Genomic DNA, 23,991 nt, shown 5'->3' on the forward strand with positions numbered 1-23,991 from the left:
GGCCAAAGAGAATAGGTTTGGGAGTGCTGTGAAACTGCTGAATGTGATGCATTTTAATGGCTTTTCTTAATCTAACTCAGGGGATCACTTAATGCTGAACATTTCAGGCAAGGGTGAGCAAAAGATGGACTCCCAGCTGATTGATTGGGCAGCTGTGTTTGGGCTGCAGCGCTGGGAGCTCTACTCCATCCCACTTGAGATGCTCCCTGGAGGAGGCCACCTGCTTTGCCTAGTGTGGCCTTGTTCCTGCTTCTCCAATGATGGGCTTATCAGCATGAGACAAGTGCTTACTAGCCAGGCTTGTTTACTCGGTACCGAACCTTTTAGACGGCCATTCCAGCAGAGAAATAGGGATGTATGTGTACATATTTGATTAGAGACAGGGCATTTACAGATTAAAGGGTTTGGGAGAAATGTTTCTGAAAAATGCTCTTTTTTTTTTTTTTAAACTAGAGCTCATAATGAGAAGTAATGAATTTCAAAGAAGTAGTGACCTGTGGATCCTGGCAACGTGGAAAATACAATGTTGGGTCTGCAGGCTGGCCCCTGCAGCGCCTCCCCAGGACATTCAGGGACAGCCAGCGCCATACTTGGGAAGGAAGGGCTCTGTGGCCGATATGATATGGAGGAAGGGACTGGGTGAATCTCCATGCTTATTAGCATAATTAGCATATTAATCTCTTCCAAAAGGTGAGCAGTAAAGAGGTTTTTTTTGTTCTTTTCTTTTTTTTTTTTTTTTTTTGAGATGGAGTTTCACTCTTGTCGCCCAGGCTGGAGTGCAATGGTGTGATCTCGGCTCACTGCAAACCTTTACCTCAAGGTTCAAGCAATTCTGCCTCAGCCTCCCAAGTAGCTGAGATTACAGGTGCCCACCACTACGCCTGGCCAATTTTGTTTTGTATTTTTAGTAGAGATGGAGTTTCACCATGTTGGCCGGGCTGGTCTCAAACTCCTTACCTCAGGTGAATCCACCTGCCTTGGCCTCCCAAAGTGCTGGGATTACAGGCGTGAGCCACAGCGCCCGGCTGGGTAAAGAGTTTTCTAATCCTGCCTTATCCAGGAATATTTCCCAATTGTACTCTATCACAGAACCCTTTCCGAAGACCCCAATTAACTTCCCCAGAATACTTTGTAGATGCTGGACTGCAGGAATTCACTTCACACCCATTTTCTTGATAGATATATGGTGTCAGAGGAGATGAAACTTGCTTGGCAAGTGTATTGGCCTGGGAATTGGAAGGTTTGGACCTGGGCCTGACTTTGGCACTATCTTGCTATTTGTCCTTGGCAAACCACTTAGCCTTTGTAGGTTTCAGTCTGTCTAATTCTCTCTGTTTTCTCATCTATTAAATAAGGCTAATAACAGTTGGGTTGTTTGAAGATTAAATGTGAGTTCAAGGGAAATTCTTAAACAGCCTGAACACAATATGAGCTTGAGGTTGTTACTGTGATGATGATGATTTTGATGGTGATGATATACGGCACTTTGTGCCTGTATTTTTACTACATCCTCTAGCAGTATGCATTGTCATTTATCTACCAAGAACTGTGCTAAATGAATTATTTATTTAAATCCTCACATCAATGCTTAACATAGGCAATATTCTTCCCATTTTACAGATGAGAAACTGAGGCTCAAAGAACTTATGTCACTTTCTTAAGGTCCCAAAGCCAGTACACAGCAAAGCCAGGATCCCATCGCAGCCTGAAATCTCTTTGCCACTAAAAGAGTGGTCCACTATCCACCAGGAGAGATTGAGGAAACCTTCATTGACAGCTATGGAGACATGCTCTATCACACTCTGACCTCTTACTGCAAGTATTTTCAGTAGCACTTGCTATCACTTGATATTATGTGTCTGGTCTGCCTACCCCATAGAATGTCAGCACTAAGAGGAACTGAGTTCTTCATTGTCCTTTAATTATGGTGTCCTCAGTGCCTAGAACCCAGCGGATGCAGTAGGCTCTCAATAAAGAATTGTTGGATAAATGAATGAAGGATATACTTATTAAATACCTCCTATGTGCTAGGGGATATGTTAGATCCTCTGATACAATAATCACCAAGATAGATTGTGTTTTTGTTTTGATAAAGCTTAGATGAAGTTGTCTAAAGGTTATATCTATTCATTTCTTACCCTCCCTGTCTTCCAACAAAATATGAATCAAGCACTTTTTAATTTAACCATTGGTGCTCTGCAAAGTGATCTGAAGGTGTTTTACCCATGCATGTTCTTCTCAAGAAGTTCATAGTTATAAGGAGAGCAAGATACATGAACAGATGATAAAAATACAATTTTAAATCACTAGAAACTCTGTGTATGAGGAGAAGAAAATAGCTCTACCTGGTGTCATGAAAGCTTTTGGAAGAAAGGTGATGAATGTTCCTGGGTGAATAGGGATTTGCTGAGTGGACTCAGGAGCCATGAACTTTTATGGTTCCAGGGTAGTGCCAGCAGGTCTAGGTTGAGAGAGGTCAACACACATGTAGAGTTCACCGGGGCTTGGTTTACTGTTCACAACTTCTTTAAATGGCCCTCAACTCATCTGCCTTTCTCTTTGACTTTTGTTCCTCACTTCCTTCACCCATGGGCTGTTCAGCTGAGCAGAGCAGCTGTGAGCTGTGGAAAGCACCTTCTGTTCTGGGAGGATGGTGAGGGGTAGGACCCTCTTTATAGGCCACTGATTTATTCCCATTTGCTGACTCACCACCACATGCCAGGCAAGTTACCTGCCTGCCTACTGTGATGCTGCTCCCCTCCTCTCCTCCCACCAGGATTTTGAGGCTATATCCTGTCTTTGGCCAAATGCTGCATTTTTTCCTATTATTGTGTTGGAATCACTCTTCTTTAATCCTCCCATCTGCCACATCAGTACTACAGTCTTCAAGAGTTGCAGCAGGACGGACAGGAGAGAATTGCTTGGGCTTTGAGGTAGTTTGATGCGGTTTCTAATTCCAGCTTCGCCACTTTGTTAGGGTAGAGTCCACTCATGACAGCAGAACCCAGGCTTGGAAGTTCAAAAGACAGACTTTAACAGGGGGAAGTAGTTGGAAGAGCTGAGAGGGCTAACAGGGGTGGGGACAGCCCTGTTGTTAGGGACAGCAGGAGGCTTCTATCCTCCCTAGAGCCAGAGGGACAAAAAGAGGAGATGATGGGGCCCCAGGGGAAATGTGGCCCCTGAAAGAGACTCTGCCTGAAGTAGAGTTGCCCTGGCCTCGCCCTCTGCCGGCCTGCAGATCTCCTGCCTGTGTCTCCCACTGACTGAGTCAGCTGGGCTAGGCTGAGTTAGGCCACATGACACACAATCCCTGAATCTCAGTGGTTTACAGCAGCAAAGCTTTACTTTCTTGCTCATACTGCAGTGTAGCCAGTGGTGCTTCACTCCAGAACCCAGGCTGATGGGTCAACCTCTCCATGGGACGCTGCTGATTTCATAGCAGAAGGACCACAGAAAGGCGCTGAGCCATGAGCTGGATCGAAAAGCCTCTGCTCAGACGCAACACACATCATGCCCATCTGTGTTTCATTGGCTAAGCAAAACCTCCTGGTCACTTCTGAATTAAACTCATCAAGGAAGTGTAACCCTGAGGTGGCTCATGCCTGTAATCCCAGCACTTTGAGAGGCTGAGGCGGGTGGATCACCTGAACTCAGGAGTTTGACACCACCCTGGGCAACATGGTGAAACCCCATCTCTACTAGAAATACAAAAAAATCAGCCAGACATGGTGGCAGGTGCTTGTAGTCTTACCTACTCAGGAGGCTGAGGCACAAGACTCGCTTGAACCTGGAAGATGGAGGTTGTAGTGAGCCCGCACCACTGCACTTCAGCCTGCGCAGCAGGGTGTCAGTTTTTTTTTTTTTTTTTTGTCTCAAAAAAAAAAAGCCCCCTTTGATCTTGATAAAGAAGCATCCACTCTATCTTCCATAACTACTCTGTGGATGAATAGTAATGGCAATAGCCAACAGTTATTGTGTGCTTATTAAGTGCTGGGCACTGTTCTAGGGGTTTTCCATGTAGCAACTAATGTTCTCACTATAATTCTAGAAGTAGTTCTTACTATTTTCCCCATTTCACTGGTGAAGAATGCTGAGGCAGGGCAGGTTAAGTAACCTGACCAGAGTCCCACAGCAAGTACGCGGTGGAGCCTGGACTTGAACCTAGGCTCTCTGGCTCCAGGGATTGCTCTTCTGTGCTGTACTTCAAAGGAAAGAATGCAGAGAAGGTGTTAGCCTGAGGCTGGGAGCAGTCAACACTCAGTAAATTCTTTCCACCTGCATGTTTGGCTGTTGGGAACAGGCCCCAACATCTGGCCATCAACTGGCCCCAAAACTGGCCATAAACAAAATCTCTGCAGCACTGTGACATGCTCGTGATGGCCTTGACACCCACACTGAAAGTTGTCGGTTTACCGGAATGAGGTCAAGGAACACTTGGTCCACGCAGGGAAAACCGCTTAAGGCGTTCTTAAACAACAAACAACAGCATGAGCGATCTGTGCCTTAAGAATGTGTTCATGCTGCAGATAACTAGCCAGCGCCATCCCTTTGTTTCCCATAAGGAATACTTTTTATTAATCTACAACCTATAGAAATAATGCTTATCACTGGCTTGCTGTCAGTAAATATGTGGGTAAATCTCTGTTCGGGGCTGTCAGCTCTGAAGGCTGTGAAACCCCTGATTTCCCACTCCACATGCGATATTTCTGTGTGTGTCTTTAATTCCTCTAGTGCTGCTGGGTTAGGGTCTCCACGACTGAGCTGGTCTCAGCATTTGGCTCCACTCAAGAGGGCACTGGAGAAGGAGCCCTCCCCTTGGAATAAAGGCTGTGTGCATGGGGGGTGGGAGGAGAGAAGTGGGGGTAGTTGGGGAGCACAATATAGAGTGCCTAGCTTCACAGCAACCTGGGAAACATCAGCTTTCAAATCCCTGCATAATGTTTCTTTAGGCTGGAAAAATGGCTTTCTGCTGCCTGGCTCTCAGTGCCTGTGACAGTCACTCAAGGGGGATATGCTTGAACTCAAAATAGCTTCTCCAGAGGACGCTTGAACTGATTAGAGGAGCATCTGGTTGGCTTTTAAGACTCTTGAAGACTGAAAGATACCAAACTCATCGATTTCCTCCTGAGTCCCCTTCTCAGCCCACTTTTCCAGCTGACTGACACCTGCCTTCTGGTTGTTCAGGTGTTCACATGGTTTGGGGTCTGGGTACAGAAAATGGACCCTGTTTCTTAAAAGTAATCCCAGATATAGTGGCCATCCAGCTGGCTGGCATGTGGATGGAGGAGATGCCGTGACTATGGAAAAGAGGGGCTGACACTTCCACAAGGGATCAACTTCAGGTGCACCCCTCTGTCCTTTGTCACTTGCTATGGTCCTCACTCAGGGCTGTGGCCACATTGAAACACCATGTCCCTGGCACACACCATGCTGTGTCACATCTCCCATGCCCCTGCTCATTTTATTTCTTCTAGAATGCCCTTTCTTCCTTGTTTATCTCATAGATCCCTATGCTTCTTCAAAGTTCAGCTGAAATGTCTCTTCCTCCAGGAAGCTACCCCCTGATCTCCCCCACATTCCCTGCTAATCCTAGGCCAGATGCCTCTTGTTTGAGCTTCCATGGTTTATGTTGAGACTTGCCACAGACTCTTCCTGTCTGTTTATCAGTTCTCTCCTCTGCTGAACTGAGCTGTTCCATAGCTGGGCCAGGCCTCTTGCCTTTTGCATTTCCAGTGCATAGCATCAGTGTGTGATGGATACTTACCAACTGAATGGCATTGCTGAGAAGCCACTTACTTGGACTCTGCAAACTCAAGTAACTGATTTGCAGGAATCTGACTGATTTGTTGAGATACACGGGCCAGGTTACCCCATGTGGACCTTAGGCTTGATGGAAGATTTGGCTAGAATTCAAGATCTCCCAAATCCTTGGCCAGCTGTCAGTGGCCAAGGACGGTTTCTCTAAGGAGAGATGCAGTTGAGGCTGGTCAAATGCGTGTTTCTTGTGACTCTCAGGGCCCTAGAATGGAATCAGAACATAGCCTCCTTGTCCCAGCAAGTGAAGGTGGACGACATGGTTTCGGCGAGCCCCCTGAAATAGTTGGCCCCAGGCCTATTTATTTGCTCTTTCCTGAAATCTCACCATGTCTTGCCACCTTGCAGCTGGATTGGCTCTAAGTCATGATGGAGCCCATAGATAACACTGCCATCGTGGAAGCCCCATTGCCATCTCTGGGCTGGGTGGCTGGCTCCACAGCTCTATCCTTGGCCAGGAGCAGGCAGGGCTGTCACGGTGTCTTGGCTGGAGCAGGGACCTGACTTCTGGGACTTGTGCTCATTCTTTTTCTAGCAGCTGTGCACAAGCCCCCTTTTCCACTGGCCAGGCCTCTTCTCAGAAAACTTGTTTCCATTTTGATGAGGTTCTTCTCCCCTGGGGCCAGCCCCAGTTCACCCTGGTACCCTAGGTAATTAATCACACACTCTATGCCTGTCATTACGTTGCCTTTGATCTCACTGGAACTTGAAAGTGCGGGTTCTGCTTTTGGTGTACTCTGCCTGCGTCGGCCACAGTGAGAAGCAGTCAGCCTTTAGGGGCCATTGGGTGGTGACCTCTTGTTGAGGGGATGGGCTTGGCTAGCAATTCCTCAGTCCCTGGAATTATCAGTAATAATAATTATTGTATTTATAGTAATAATAGTAGTAATAACTATTACTGGGACCCGCCTTCTTCCAGCCTCTCGGGATAAATTATTTAACCTGTTATTAGTATGGTTCCACATTTAAAAGAGAGACTTTGGAATTCTTCCACCAGCATCTTGCACCCACAGATAAAGATTGCCCACATGCAGGATGATGCCTCATAGATGCAGTCTTTGAGAAAGGTTGTCTCTCCCTTTTGCAACATGATTCCAAAGTGAGCAGCAGTGTGAACCAGAGAGAATACTGTCTTTTGGCTTAGGAATCTCTCTCCTCTGTCCTATGTGGACTTGGGGTCACAGCTGCCCTGCACAACTCCAGGGGCACCATTCACACAAAAGAAGGTACAAAAGAAGGTGCAACACAATGACTCTGGCTTGGACTGTACCTGGGAGGCATCAATTCTTTCTTGAATCAGACATCAGGATTTTCGCTGCAGCCCTGGAAATGGGCAACATTTGTGTTTGAGTCAATTGGCCTTTCTTGGAAGCCCCCTGATGCAATGGAAAAGAATGATTCTAATTTGCCCTAGTTGGGAAAATCTGTTCATTTTCTCGACATGATGTGGCTTGGTAGAATGTACATTAAACTAAGGTTTAGAGTAGGTAGGCTCTAGGAAATCTTGAGCAGGTCACAGATGTCAGACTCGATTTTTAATTATACAAATGGACAAAAGTGGACAGATAATCCCAGCCTGGAAGTTTCCTGGTGGGAGCAGAGTGTGTGGATCAGATGTCCCTGGGTATCATATCCTGTTGTCCCCAGCCCAGCTGCGTTGGTTGCTTGGGGTCATGGGAATGTTAGTGTTGCTCTGAAGCCAGGAAAGCACCTAGTTAGTGAGGATTGGAGCGAACAGGGTTGGGCATGGGTAGCCCACTGTCTTTTCCATTCAAACAGAAATACTCTGTGGACCACAGGGCGCCTGACTCTAGTCTCTTGTGTGTACTGGGGTGGAGAGAAGGGAGCAGAATGGCCCGGGCACAAGAGGAAGAATCGTGGAAAGGCTGGAGAGAAGAAGCAAACAACTGAGCACATTCCAGACGACCCTTCAGCCTGGCCTGCAGGACCCACCATGACATACCTTCTCCCAGCCTCCCTTGGGATAAGTTATTTAACCTCAGTGAATCCAGTTTCCTCACTGGTTAAATAGTGAGACCAATACCTGCACTGGCAGGGATGTTGTGAGAATTAGAGATAATTCATTTTAGGCACTTAGCAGAGTCCCGAATAAATTACGGATATTGCTATTACTATCAATGGTTTTAACTTATCCCAACCTATACAACCCTAATCTAGCCGCCATCAACAAGTTTTCTTTTCTTTTTTTTTTTTTTTAAATTCATGTGATATATTAAGTCAGGTCTCCGGTCTAGACAGATGCATGCAAAAATCATTTTGTCCAGGTAACCTATTTTATAGGTGGGCACCTGAAGCCCACGAGTAACATTTTGATGCTATTCTTATATTATTCTTCTCTGGCCATCCAATCTAAAGTCACAATCCAGACACTTCTAGCACATCACCATGTTCTAATTGTTGGCATTGCACTGATCACCATTTGACCTATTTGGTGGTCTATTTATTTGATTATTTCCCATGTTTCTCCACTTGAATGTCAGCCTCATAGAAGGCTGGGCATTTTCTGTCTTCTTTACCACCATATGTCCAACACCGAGAACATTACCGAGTGCACAGTAGAGCCGCAGTTAAGTGTTCTGTGATGAATGGATTGTATTGAATGAGTGGTGAAGAGCCTCTTTCTGCTTTATGGTTGCCAGCTGTGACTGTGGGCAAGTCATTTTTCTCATCCTTAATTTCCTCTGAGATGAAGTGGGGACAATACCTAGAGGCAGGTGCAGCATGAGCTCAGGCATCTCCAGCCAGGCCTCAGGGAGACCCTTTAAGGGATGAGATTTTGGTAAATTCACCATGGTGTGTCTTTTAGCCTTCAAGATGAAATCTTCCTTAGTATCTGATAATTAGTTGGACTGGGAAATGAATCACACCTACTAGTCTCACGAGAGACTGATATATGAGCCAGGCATGAGCATTTACTAATTTTTGCTGCAAAAATAGTATCATTAAGAAAAGTCAGTGTTCAAATTGGCCTAACCAGTTTGCTGGAAGCCAAGTTATAATCAGAAAGCTGCTGAGGGATTATGGAATGAGAAAAAGGCACATGGGTTAACTGACATAAGTATTTGCCATTTCTGGCGGTTGGCTTGGAGAGTTATGCATTCATTTCCAAAGGAAGGAGAGATCGGACAGGTTGAGCCTGTAAGCTGGGGCATTTTCATCCTGGAAGGGCCAGTGGGCAATGCCCTTTGACACCCTGAACTTTATCTTTAGGCTCTCACCGCTGATCATCATCCCCTTATGATGAACAGAGCCTGTTTTGAACCACACTAGCGATAGTTGTGTCTTCCAAACAAACTTTTCCAACCTTTTCTGGTTTGCGGGAGATTCCCTCCCTGATTCTAGGTGGCTCTGAAAGAGTTGTCCATGAGATTATTCTACTTCTTGCCCTCTACCCTGTCCACCACTTCTGGGCTGAGCACATGACCAAGCTGGCCAATCAGAGGAACTAACCCTCCTGGGATGGACTCAGGGATACACAAATGACCTGAATAGGGCCAATACAAATCTTCGTGAGATTGAAGTCTGGACATTGGGGGTGGTAGACAGTTTGCAAAGCTGGCCGTAGTAACTCCTCATCCTGCATGCCCCTTTGGGATGTGACTTTGGGGGCCTCTCATCAGCAGCTGAATTCTACTTCCCCTCTCCTTAAATTCGGGCTGGTCCCATGACTTGGTTTGATCAGTTGAAGAGATGTTGTATGAGTTCTGAGTTCTCAGCCTTGAGAGGCCTTGCAGGTTCTATTCCTGCTCTCCTTTCTAACACTGCTGCTTTGTCAGAAGTCAGGCTGGGGCCTTTTGGAGATGGTAACACTTGGTCTAGGGACCATATTGAGAGAAGAGAAAGAGGGAGAGACATCCCAGCCATTCTAGCCATCCCAGTTGAGTCCCCTGACATGTGAATAAAGCCATTTCAGACCAATCACCTCCAGCTGACACCACCTGGCCACAAATGACTGATTAAATTCAGGAGACACCACAGGGATCCACAGGATTGCCCAGCTGAGCCTGAATTGCTGATGCACAGAATTGTAAGGAAAGAAAAGGTTGTTTTTTCAAGCCACTAAGTTTTGGGGATATTTTGTTCCTCAGCAATAGATAACTGATACATTGGGAGGGAGAAGTTTTTTCCTCACTGAGGTGGCCAAGCTGAGAAGACACAAGGCTGAGGATATGGAGGCTGCCATCTTGAGAAACTGAAGAATAAAACCAAGCAGAGAAAAGCGGAAGGAAAAAATAAAGGAGGCAGAGTTGAAATTTTGAAAGATGTTATTTGAGTCCCTGAATCCAGACAAGACACGAGCCTGCTGTACATTAGCCTTACAAGACTTCCTAGTTAAGCAAATAAGAAACTTCCTTCTTTTATGTTAAAGCCACTGTGAGTCCAGATTATGTCACTGGTAACTGAAAGAGTCCTAAGTAATAAACATTCATTTGTTGAGTGTGTTATTACATGCAACTCGGTTTCAGCCAAATTTTATTGGCCTGGTGATTTTCAGCACTTTTAAAGTTAGTTCCTATATCTCTCAACAATCCCTGATTTTTAAAAATTATCTTATTCTTGAATTAGTTTATTCATTCAGCTGCACTTTATTTAGCACTTACTATGTGTAGAAACTGCGGCAACTCCTGGAGATTTAGCCGGAAATGACATATCCAGTGTTCCCAACTTCCACTTAAAGTTATTTAATTAGAATTGTGTTAAATTCCAAGAAGAAAAAGAAATGGGCATTAAGAGAGTGTGAATATCCTATCCTGCAGTCTTGTTGTGAAAACCAAAGAGGATTATATGTGTGAAAATACTTAACATAGTTCCAGCATAAACATGTTTTTTTTTTTTTCCTCATGGTTTGAAACTATAAGCCCTTTCTAACATACCTGCTCTCATCACTAAAAATATCTGTCTTTAGATGTCCTTTCTGCATCTAGGTCTTGCATCTAGATGCAACATGCTCAATTTGCCAAATGCGTAGGTAGCTGAGAAGTGCCACATTTTAAAGACTGCTCTAAATTCAAGAGACACATAGTCATGGAACTGCTGGAGGTTTGGGCTTTCGACACACTCTGAAATACTGCCTCTCTCCTCACCACCCACACTTCCTGCTGATAATCCAAGTTTTTTTTTCTTTGCCTTTATTACTTCCAAGCTCTAGTTCTTGGCTGAGACAAACTGCAGTCCCCAAATGCTGTGATTTAATGAGAGGAAATTTACTCGACTTAATGTACAAATTTGCCAGGGGAAGTGATTTTGATAAGGATAATTACATTCACATCTTAGTGTAAATTATAGCAAATATCTTACACTGTGAGCAGCTGCTGAGTCCCTGTCACTCAGTGTGACCTCTGTTCTTTGGGTTTCATAACCAGCTAATGAATGTTTAGTGAAAGCAAAATGAGAAGGCTGATTATAATGATCTGAACTCCCAGAGCCTCAGCACTTATTCAAGTAAGAGGCAGTATCAGAATTGAGTTTTTTCTGCATAGACCTATGTTCAGCCATATATGGAAAATGTGGGGCAGGCGGGTTGCAGAAATATTTAGGAAGTGGTGTTGGTGTGATACTCATGGCTTTTCAGAGTCTAGACCAAAACCATCAACCAGTTTCATCTCTCATTTTTACTCTCATAGCCACCACACTTGTCCATACCAACAGTTTACTGTTCTCTGAATATTCCATTTACTTGTTCACTCCCATGTCTTCAGCCCTTGGTCTTGTATTTCTTTTTTCCCTCTTCGCAGTTTGATGAAATCCTAATCCTCACTGGAGATGCAGCTCACATCTGCATCTGCACCTGCCCTGGTCACCTGGAGCCACATTCATTCCCTTCACAAGGCACCCATCACATTCTCTTTATATATTTATGATGGTATTCATTTGTTCAGTAAACATGTAAGGAGCACTTATGAGGTGCCAGAAAAGTGGAACCCTAAGAAAAATCCAGTGTAGTTAAGGATCCCAGAGTCTATCATGGGAGATGTGCAAGTGAAAAATAATCACAACAATCCTAAAGCAGTGATAAATCCATCAATAAAAGTGAACACAGGCTTCTATGGAAGTCAAAAGGAAAGAATCTAGCACAGACTGGGGAGTCAGAGAAAGAATTCTAGAGGCAAGGGTGCCTCAGCATAGTAATTAAGAATGAATGGGCCAGGTGATGTGGCTCACACCTGTAATCCCAGCACTTTGAAAGGCTGAGGCAGGTGGATCACTTGAAGCCAGGAATTCAAGACCAGCCTGGCCAACAAGGTGAAACCCCATCTCTACTAAAAATACAAAAAAAGTAAAAATAAAAATAAAAAAGTAAAAAATAAAAATATAAAAAAGATCCAGGCGTGGTGGCACATGCCTGTAATCTCAACTACTTGGGAGGCTGAGGCAGGAGAATCGCTTGAACCTGAGAGGCGGAGGTTGCAGTGAGCCAAGATTGTGCCACTGCACTGCAGCCTGGGCAACAGAGTGAGACTCCATCGCAAAAATGAAAAAGAAATGGATAGAAGTTATCCAAGTAAAGAGGAGGAGAAGGACATTCTACACAGAGGAAACACTAGACTCATTCTGGCTATCAGTGGTTTGTCTTACCTACCATTTTCTCAACTTCTTGAAGGTAGGTATTTGTTTCAGCTATTTTTATATTCCAATTACCTAGCACAAGCATAAAGTAAATGCTCAAAAAACGTCTGGTAGATGAATGAATTAACCATTAATCCAGAGTATATTAATTCTGGTCTTGTTTGGGGATCCAAGAAGTGCTAAAAAACTCACTGAATGGTGAGAAAAACATGGCCAGAAACAGTGGGTCTGTAGTAGCCATCTATTGCTGTTTAACAAACCATGCCAAAAGTTGGTGGCTTAAAGCAACAATAATTTATTATTTGTCATGGTTCTGTGAATTGATTGTGTTCTTCTCTTCTTCTGTTACTTCCTCCTGGGCTCACTTGTATTTGACTGGAGGGTCACTTGGATCTGAGCTTAGGTGGGACAGTGGAGACACCTGGACTCTCCCTTTATGTGGTCTTTCATGCTCAAGAAGGCTGGATTGGGCTTCCTCATGTGATGACATCAGCATTCTGAGAGAAAGCGCTAGAGCAAAGGTGTTTATCAACTTCTGCTTGTATCGCATTTTCTGATGTCTCAGTGGTAAAAGAAAGTTGCACGGCTAAGAGACAATGCAGTAGAGGATTACACGTAGGCATGTACTGGGGGGCACAGTCCACCAAGACCACAAGGTTACTAGATGTCAAAGTGCCACGGTGAAAAGGATTAACAAATGTATGTGGTACATGCAGGTAGGGAAACAGATCAGAGTCATCACTCTGGAGACAGAGAGGTCCTGTGGTGTAGTGATAGGAACACTAAACTTGACTGGATTGGAAACTGGAAGAAGAGGGTTTGAATCACAGAAAATAACCCAATGATATTTACTTCATGGGTTGTCTCCAGCATCATACACAATAGTGTGAAAATATTTATGCAAACTTGAAGATAAATGAGCACTGCTAGGTGGAAAGCCCACGCCAGCACCAGGGAAAGCACCAGAACTCCAGCAAAGCTGCTGTGACTAGAGAATCCAAGACTAGGAATCCGTGCTCCTTTAACCTGGAGGCACCTGCGCCCCACAGATACAACTTGTCAAGTGTCTAAAGAATTGGGCTGACTTCACATATTCTCATTTGCCTTGTGCCCTTTCCTGTCATAACCTGCATGGATTGAGTTTAGGTTTATTCATGAGTAAGGGAAACCCAAGTAAGAGTAGCTTAAACTAGACAGAAGTTTTGACGGTCACAAGCACAGGGCAGAGGTAGGCAGATCACAGCTGTTACAGAAGCTCTGCTCCATGAAGTCCAGACCCAAGATCCTTAAAGTTCCCTGGCCTGTGCCGTTAGGGTGTGGCCTTCAGTTTCATGGATTAAGGAGGGTGGCCGGTGAGCCTGTCACTACATTTGCATGCTTCATTTGTTCCTCCCTCCAACAAAGGCAAATTTTCTGGTTCCTATGATGGACTAGAAAGAAAGTAAAAGGTGTTACATGTGTGGGATTAAAAGTCAGCCATCTTGGGATTCTGAAGGAAGAGAATCCTTCAGAGTTTTGAAGTCCTTCAAAATGTCTATAAAGAGCAGCAGCCAAGGTGTCTAAGCAAGGTAATGGCTAGTCTGGGTTAGGACAGTGTTTGAATCATGTAAAATAAAATCCAATAATATTTACTTTAAAATAAAAAATGAGGCCGGGCACGGTAGTTCACGCCTGTAATCCCAGCATTTTGGGAGGCCGAGGCAGGTGGATCACTTGAGGTCAGGAGTTTGAGACCAGCCTGGCCAATATGGTGAAACTCCATCTCTACTAAAAATACAAAAATTAGCCGGGCATGGTGGCACACGCCTGTAATCCCAGCTACTCAGGAGGCTGAGGCAGAAGGATCACTTGAGCCTGGAAGGCAGAGGCTGCAGTGAGCTGAAATTGCACCACTGCACTCCAGCCTGGGTAACAGAGCAAGACCCTGTCTCAAAACATAAATAAATAAATAAATAAATAAATAGAATTTCTAACATTTTCTTCTCACATCACAATAAAGCATCTTGTGCTCTGCTCACTCATTACCTGCTCTGGAGACAACTGCTCTAGGCTGTCTGTAATAGTTTTCTGCTGCTGCTGTAACTAATTTCTAAAAACTTATGGCTCGACAGAGAGGAGAACGGTGGTTTTCAGGAGATGAGGGAAGGGGAGAAATGGAAAGATGATAGTCAAAGGGTACAAAGTTTCAGTTATGCAGCATGAATAAGTTCTGGAGATCTCATGAACAGCATGGTGACTACAGTTTCAGGTACTGTATACCTGAAATTTGCCAAGAGGGTAGATTTTAAGTGTTCTCACCACACATAAAAAGAAAGGAAAATGGTAAATACATGAGGTGATGATATGTTAATTAGCTTGATTGTGGTGATGGTTTCATAACATATACTAATATCAAAACATTGAGTTCTACATCTTAGATGTATGCAATTTCAGATATACGAGTTCTACATCTTAAATGTCTAGCCCTTGTGACTCAGTTGATTATACTTCAATGTAGCTGAAAAAATGGAAATCTGGGTGATTTTCTCTTTTCATAAGTTTTCTGTAAGTGTGAAAGTATTTCAACACAAAAAGTTAAAAATTAAAAAAAAAACGATGACACGCACATACACCCTCTTAGTGGCTTAAAACAACAAAAATTTATTATCTTACAGTTCTGGGGATCAAAAATCCTAAAATCAAAGTGTTCATAGAGACGCAACACCTTGGAATCTTTAGGGGATAATACATTTCTTTTCCTTTTCCAGCTTCTACAAGCTGCCTGCTATCCTTGGCTCATGACCCCTTCCTCCGTCTTCAAGGCCAGCAGTGCAGCATCTTCAAATCTTTTTCTCTCTCTCTCATCTCTTCTTCTAGTATCACTTCCTTTCTGACTCTGACTCTGCCACCTCCCTTTTATAAGGACCTTTGTGTCCTTATGAGGACATTGGGTTTACCCAGTCATCCACGTTAATGACCCAAACTCAAGATCCTTACTTTAATCACATCAGCCAAGCCCCATTTGCCCTGTAAGTTAACATACTCGAAGGTTCTTAGGATTACGCCCTGGACATCTTTGAAGGGGCCATGATGCTGCCTGATATACTACCCATTCATTAACTCATTCATTCAATCAATGTTTGTCAGGCACCTTCTACGTATGTGCCAGGTACTATGTTGGCTGAATACAGTGGAGAATCAAACAGACAAGACTCCTGCCCTCCTGAAGCAGTTCTTCATTTTTCTAGATGAGCACCACTGATCCAGCCCAGAATGGGTCAACATATGCAATAATAGAAGAGGAATGTTTCATATGCTTAACATACATGCACAAACACATCCACTCACATAGTCACATTTGTATGAGTGTCCTCGTTACTGCAAATGTTTAAAACGTGTTTTAGAAACATTTTTTGTTCATGTAATGTCCACTCCGAGTCCTTTTGCTAAATGAATGGGACTTCATTATAAGGGAACACTCCTAACTCTCCATGCAACTCTCCTAATTCTCAGTCTTATTAAACAATAAAAAGCAGGGAGATTTTTTGCCCTACCAAACTTGAGTCTTCATAATCTCAGCCCCCTAATCTCTCTGGAAGCCATGGGTGACTCCATCCTGTTCTGCAAGAGCAGCAGACAATCCCTGCTGCCAGAGGCCAAGCTCGACCAATCACTGGCTTTGTCTGTCCCTCCTGTTTGCTGGTGTTTGGCAGGGCAATTGTGCCGCATTCTTGGATTGACCAGTGAGTACGTGGCTAGGCACTGTTTTGAGTGACTGCCTTCCAGTGCTACATTACTTATAGTTTCCCAAACTGTAAGACAAATTGGGGTTGAGGATTATAGGTTCACTAGTCACCTCCTTGTCGGAGGCCCAGCATCTTCAGTTCCTTTTATTGTCTGCACTCCAGAGATGGATGCTGGGTCGTGGATGACCCTAGCCATGCTGAGCGGGTGTCCTTTGCAAGACTTTCATCTCCATCTGACACGCTGTATGGGGCCAACCATTATGTCCTCTTATTTCTTCCTGGATCTGTTAAACAGGAACTTCTGCCCTTTTTACTCACTCCTCCCCCAAGCAAGGAGGACTAATCTTCTGGCTCAAGTTTTTGTTTGGATAAAGTATAGAGCTGTGAGTATTGTCGAAGAAAAATTTCACTGGACAGACTGAAACAGGTAAGGGGAACTTTATTCAAAACTATTGCAGTAGCTGTCAAGACTATTGCAATAGCGGAGACAGCTTGAACTCAACTACTCAACTCTGATTACAACATGGCCAGCTGGGGATTTATAGTAAGGAGCAGGGTGAGGGAGTCAGTGGATGGAAAATTACTGAGAGAACTTTGGTTATGATCCAGGGACAGGGGGTTTTCACTAAACTGGCTTAGCAGAATTCTCGCTAACACTGGGGCTGCTGGCCAAGGCCAAGGCCTAGTGGGGAAGAGTGCTCAGAGGAGCTGGACTAGAGTTTGGTCAAGGAGGAAGTCCCTGTCACGATTATTATTTTCTTTGTCCTGGGAATTGCTTGCCACAGCATTGACACAGTCTCTGTTCCTCCATCCAGGGATGGTCTAGCCCTTGTGAGTGTGTGTGGGATGGGGGCAGGTGAAAAGTATACAGGTCTTGGGCTGGGTGCGGTGGCTCATGCCTGTAATCCCAGCACTTTGGGAGGCTGGGGCGGGTGGATCACAAGGTCAGGAGATCGAGACCATCCTGGCTAACACAGTGAAACCCCGTCTCTACTAAAAATACAAAAAATGAGCCAGGTGTGGTGGCAGGTGCCTGTAGTCCCAGCAACTCGGGAGACTGAGGCAGAATGGCGTGAACCTGGGAGGTGGAGCTGGCAGTGAGCCAAGATTGCACCATTGCGCTCCAGCCTGGGCAACAGAGCGAGACTGTCTCAAAAAAAAAAAAAAAAAAAAAAAAGTATACAGGTCTTGATGGGTACAGTCAGCTCAGGAGTTCAATATTAGGAAATATGGCTAAGATGTTTTCTCCAGTACAGCTTCAGTCAGTAACAGAAACAATATTTTGATCACCACTCTGCTACTCCACTGGCTGTTTCTGTTTTTCATTCCCACCAGCCATCTATTGGAGTTCCCACTGCTCCAAATTCTTGCCAACACTTGGTACTATGAGGATTTTTTATTTTAGCCATTCCAATAGGTTTGGGATATCTCATTGTAATTTTAATTCTGATTTCCCAAATAACTAATCATGAACCACCTTTCTTCATGCTTATTTGCCATTTGTATACCTTGTGCCTGTTCATAGCTTTTGCCCAGCTTTTGAGTTGTTTTCTCATTGTTGAGTTTTGAATGCTCTTCATGTATTTTTGATACAAGTTCTTTGGTGGATATGTGTGTGAGAAAAATATGTGAACATATTTTTATCCCAGCCTGTAGCTTGTCTTTTCATTCTTTTAACAGTATCTTTTGGCCCGGTGTGGTGGCTCATGCCTGTAATCCCAGCACTTTGGGAGGCCAAGGCGTGCAGACCACCTGCAGTCAGGCATTCAAGACCAGCCTGGCTAACATGGTGAAACCCCATTTCCACTAATAGTACAACAATCAGCTGGGTGCAGTGATGCGTGCCTGTAATCCTAGCTACTTGGGAGGCTGTGGCAGGAGAATCGCTTGAACCCGGGAGGCAGAAGTTGTGGTGAGCCGAGATCACACCACTGCACTCCAGCCTGGGTGACAGAGCGAGACTCCGTCTCAAAACAACAACAACAACAAAAACCCCCAGTATCTTTCAAAGAACAAGGTTTTAAATTTCAATGAAGTATAATTTACCGAATTTTCTTTTATGGATTGTGTTTTGGTGTTATATCCTAAAGTCTTTGCTTAAATTTAACAAGAATTTCTCCTAAGTTTTTTTCTAAACTTTTTCTAATTTTATGTATTATATTTAGGGTTATGATTCATTTTGAATTCATTTTGAATTCATTTTTAAGGAGTGAGATATAGGTTGGAGTTTATTTTCTTAAACTATTTCAGAACCATTGTAGAAAAGATAATGCCTTTGCATTTTTGTCAAAATTCAATTGATCATTTTTGTGTGGGTCTATTTCTGGATGCTCCATTTTATTCCACTGATCTTTGTGTCTATACTTTCACCAATATTGTAGTGTCCTGATTGCTGTAGAATTATAATAAATCTTAAAATCGGGTAGTATGAGTCTTTTAACTTTATTCTTTGTTTAAAAAACTGTTTTGCCATTCGTATACATTTTAGAATAAGCTTGTTAATTTCTATAAAATTTCTTTTGGGATTTTGATTGAGATTGTGGTAAATCTATAGATAAATGGAAGAAGATTGACCTTTTAACTTTAGTAAAGTCATTCATTCAGTGAACACAGTGTATCTTTCCATTTATTCGTTCTTTGACTTATTTCATCAGTGTTTTGTAGTTTTCGGCAGAAAACTAAAGAACGTAAATATGTTTTGTTAGATATTTAACCAAGTATTTCTTGTTTTGGGAACTATTATGAAGAGCAACTTTTTTATGTTTTAGTTTTTAATTGTTCATTGCTAGTACAGAGAAATACAATGAATATTTGTGTGTTGAACTTCTATTCTGTAACCTTGTTAACTTTTTAGTTCAGGTAGATTCTTTGAGATTTAATATGTAAACAATAATGTGTGTGAATAGAAACAGTTTTATTTTTAATGTTTTGCTTTTCAATCTGTACACCTTTTATTTATTTTTCTCACCTTGTTACACTGACTTGAACTTCCAGTATGATAGTGAATAGAGGCAGTGATAGAAAATATCTTTACTTTGTTCCTGATCTTAGGGGAAAAGCATTTAGTTTTGCGCCACTAAATATGATGCTAGCTGTATCTTTTTTGTAGATACTCTATTTCAGGTTAAGGCAGCTTTTTTCAATTCCTGGTTTGGTAAGTGTTTTGAACATAGAGGGATGTTGAATTTCATCAAATGTTTCCCCTGTATCTATTGATATAATCATATGTTCTTTTCCCCTCAGTCAGTTAATATGGGGGATTAAATTGACTGATTTTGGAATATTGAAACAGTTTTGCATTTCTCTACCTTGTTGTGGTGTATTATCCTTTTTATAAAAATTGTTGATTTAACTTGCTAATATTTGATAAGGAATTGTGTGCCTTTGGATGGATGAAGCTGGAATCCATCAATCTCAGCAAACTAACACAGGAACAGAAAACGAAACACTGTATGTTCTTATTCATAAGTGCGAATTGAACAATGAGAACACGTGGACACAGGGAGGGGAACATCACACACCGGGGCCTGTCAGGGGCTGGGGGGCAAGAGGAGGGAGAGCATTAGGAGAAATATCTAATGTAGATGACAGGTTGATGGGTGCAGCAAACCACCATGGCACGTGTATACCTATGTAACAAACCTGCATGCTCTGCACATGTACCCCAGAACTTAAAGTATATCTAAAAAAAGAAATTGTGTGCCTTTGTTTATGACAAATATTGGTCTGCAGTTTTATTTTCTTGTACTGTTTTCTTGTATTATTTTGGTATCAGGTTTGTGTTAGTTTCATAAAATGAGTTAGGAAGCATTTCTCCCTTTTGAATTTTCTGGGATAAATTGTGTAGATATTTTCCCTCAGTATTTGGTAGAATTTTCCACTGAAACCATGTGGACCTGGAATTTCCTTTGTTGGAAAGTTTTAGCTAAGAATTCTGCTTATTTAAGTGAATATGGGACTATTCAGGTTATCTATTTTTTCTTGAGTGACTTTTGATAGTGTCTTTTGAAAATTTATCTATTTCATTTAAAGTTGTTGAATTTACAGGCAGGGTTATTAACAGCATTTCCTTATTACCCTTCTAATATCTGTAGGGTCTGTAGGGATATTGCCTCTTTCATTACTGCTCTTGGCAAGTTGTGTCCTATCTCTCTTATCCTCTCTTTTTCTCCCTCCATCTCCCCAACATCACTTCTTCCATACTCCTTCTTTTGGTTAGCCTGGATAGAGGTTTATCAATTGTATTGATCTTTCCAAAGAACCAATTTTTGGTTTCATCGATTTTCTTATCTTGTCCTGTTTTTGATATATTTCCATTTTGGATTTCATATATTTTTATTCTTATCTTTATTATTTTCTTCCCTGTGTTTGCTTTTTGAATAGTTTGCTTTTATTTTTCTAGTTTCTTAAGGTGAAATTTTATATTAATTATTTGAGAGCTTTCTAGCTCAATTGACCCATTTATAACTACATAATCTCCTCTTTATCATGGGTAATTCCTCTTGTTTCAAAATCTACTTTTTCTACTATTAATATGCCAGCTTTCTTTTGATTTGCATTTGCGTACTATATATTTTCTCACTCTTTTACTTTTAACCTATCTATATCATTATGTTTACAGTGGGCTTCTTGCACATAGCATATAGATGGGCCTTCAAAAAATTCAAACTGGATTGACAGTTCTTTCAGTGTTTAAAAAAATACTGAGATATTGTTCCAGTCTCTTCTGGCTTATTTGGTTTCTGATGAGAAATCTAAAGTCATGCAAATCATTTTCCACTCTGTGTAATGCTTTGATTTTCTAAGGTGACTTTCAAGATTTTTTCCTTTATATTTGATTTTCATCAGTTTGATCACATTTTTTTCCCCCAAGGGCCACCCCTTTCCTGTCACTCTGGGAAGGGATCGAGGCAGGAGATGTCTCCTGCAGCTTTTTCAGTCCATGTCCATTGCACAGTTTCTAAAACTGCCCTGTCCTGGAGTATAAGCCAGGAGATACTCACTGCCATATTAACTATACTTTGGGTTTTGGTTTCTCTCTTCAATTTGCCTGATATAATTTATTTTTCAGAGTCCTTACATGTTTTCATTACGATTCTGCCCAGGGTTGCTAGTTATGATCAGTGGGAGAAATAGGGTGGAGTGTGCTTACTTAGCCAGAACTAGCAGCTGGAAGAGTTACTTTTAGCGAACCTGAAAAGAAGAAATATAAACCTCCATGGCTTGGAGGTGAGAGAATATGTAAAATAGTAAGACAAGGGCCTAATCCCCAACTCCTGGTCAGGAATTAGGAAAGGAGACCTGTTAATTTGACTAGAGATTCTTTTAGGGTCTGTGAATGGATACAGGGTGCTGTAAGCGGCTGGTACCTTTCAGCCAAGAACCAGAGCCTGTGAAGCAAAGCTCATGAAAATGTCTGTCTCTCTAACTCGCCACTCCCCATTATATTTGGGTATCTGGAAAACAACTTTTTTTTGTGTCACATGTATTTTATTTCATTGAATATCATATGAACATCGGGAAAAATGTGAGACAACAAATCCTAGATTATCAACTTAGGTAACAGAGAGGAGGAAGGCCCAAGCAAACATAAGAAAAAAGTTCTGTACTGAAACACAGCTATTCCATTCTACTCATTTGTAAAGTTAAAGTGTGAATATTAGAAAGTAATACAATATTAAGGACACTAAAAGAAAGAATACCCCCTAGATTTGTGGTACAAGTGTGTGGCTGTGAAAAACAACTTTATACATGAAGAATTCACTGGAGTAAATATCAGAGTATAAACAAAAGGGTTTGGAATTGAGATGATGCATTTGATTTAATACAAAGTGGAAAAAATAGAAGATAAGAGACAAGAAGATTGTAATTGTGTTTCATGTATTCTGTGATTCCAACTGGATGAATAATAAGCAAGAAATGTACAGAGCTGTCTAAAAATTAAATTGCTTATGTTGGGGGAGTGAAGGATATGAGATTATGGGTGTCTTATTGTTTTATTTTTCAAAAATTTCCTTAATGTGGCTGCTGTGGTTTGAATGTCCCCTCTAAAAGTCATGTTGAAATTTAATCCCCAATGCGGCAGTATTGAGAGGCAGAGTCTTTAAAAGGTAGTTGGGTCATGAGAGCCCTCATGAATTAATGGATTAATGAGTGAATGAATGAATGGGTCATCATGGGAGTGGGACTGGTGGTTTTATAAAGAGAAGAGAGACCCCAGTGAACAAACTTAGCCGCCTCACCATGTGATTCCCTTTGCCGCCTCAGGACGGCAAGAGGCCCCACCAGTAAGAAGGCACTCGTCAGATGTCCCCCTGACATTGAACTCTACAGCCTCCAGAACAGTAAAAAAAAAAAAAAGTTTGTTTGTCTATAAATTACCCAGTTTCAGGTATTCTGTTATAAGCAGTAGAAAATGGAGTGAGAAATGGCTCTATGAGCTTTTCAAATAAAATAACATGTAAGAATAATTCCTGGCCTATTGCCTGACAGTCATAGTGTTCCCCATTCTATTTCTGTCACTTATTTGGGAAGGTTTTCCTGATTCTCACCTCTCACCCCAGTCATCCCTGTGGCATGTTTCTATATCACTGTATTGATGACAATTTACTGTACTATAAAGTACAGTACTGATGACAACTTTACAGTTAATGCTTTGATTTTCTATCTTCTCTGGTAGACATGGGCTTTTGCAGGTGAGGGCAGTATATTTTCTTGCTTACTGATACATCTTTAGTATGTAGCTAGTGCCTTGTCTATGATAGGTACCTAATAAATATTTATTGCCTAAATTCTCAAGTCTCCAAATAAAAGAGAACACCAAAAAGCTAAGACTTTTATTTTACACTGTCTTTGGCTCTTTTGGTCTCAGGCACTTTTGGAACCCACACCTCACTTTCTCTTCGTCTTGACAAACACTGTCCAAATTTTTCAGCCAACCCAAAGCTGGATGGCATAGTGCATTGAGTTGGCAATTAACCAAAGGAGTGGCCCAGTGATGAAAGAATACTCCACAGAAAAGGAAAACTGAACTCAAATTTTGCCTAAGGCTGCCATGGTCAAGAATGATCTGAGCAAACCCAAGGGATTATGGCCAAAAGGATTCTAGTGGTATTGCTAAGTCAAGTCCTCTCTGGCCCCACTCCTATGAGATACCAAATTCAAACACACTGGTGCTAATTCAAGTGCACTTTACTTTACTTTAGGACACGTTTTTTCATTTTAGAAGCAAGTATAGGAAATCGCCCAAACCACAAGCCACACATTACGATGGCAGGCTGTAAGTAGATCTTACTCAAACAACTTTAGCATGTAAGAGTTAGAAGAGCCCCTCAACATATCTATTCCAAACACCTTCCTCCAAAGTTGACACAGATTTTCTTAGCAACAGTCAAGATGAGTAATCACCCAGTCTTCCCTTGAGCACTTTGAGTGATGGTGAACTCCCCATTTTTCAAGACAGCTCATTACCTTTTCAGAGAAATCTCTTCTAGACTTGGTAAACATGAGGTACATGTGCTGACACTCTGAGCCCCACACTTGTGGCAGAGATCACCAATTAATCACAATGTTTTTTTTTTTTCCCACCAAGCCTAGGTTTAGCTTTAGAATCATCCTCAACATTATTTTTCATTTGGATGGAGGTCAATTTTCAGTCCCTGCTGCAGTTATGAGAAAGTTAAGTCTTCTACACATTGCTCTTCTTCATGTTCTCTGTGAGCACACAGGACTCTAATAGTCTGGGGTGAGGACAGCGTCAGCCCTGAAGTTTTGAGCCCATTCCTGGAACACAGTTTGGGAAAGACAAAATCTGCAGGCTGGTGTGTTGGTATTAGGCTCTCCAAAGCCTGAGATCCACAAGGTC

The 23,991-nt window shown here is 42.4% G+C and overlaps 1 protein-coding gene across 18 annotated transcripts in view; it reads right to left on the reverse strand.

Annotated features, from left to right (window-relative positions):
* Positions 1-23,991, reverse strand: part of SLC2A9 (solute carrier family 2 member 9) — a 269,246-nt gene that overhangs the window by 30,812 nt on the left and 214,443 nt on the right. The window lies entirely within an intron of this gene.

The sequence above is a fragment of the Homo sapiens genome, chromosome 4 (genome assembly GCF_000001405.40).
Source record: "Homo sapiens chromosome 4, GRCh38.p14 Primary Assembly".
Classification (NCBI taxonomy): domain Eukaryota; kingdom Metazoa; phylum Chordata; class Mammalia; order Primates; family Hominidae; genus Homo; species Homo sapiens.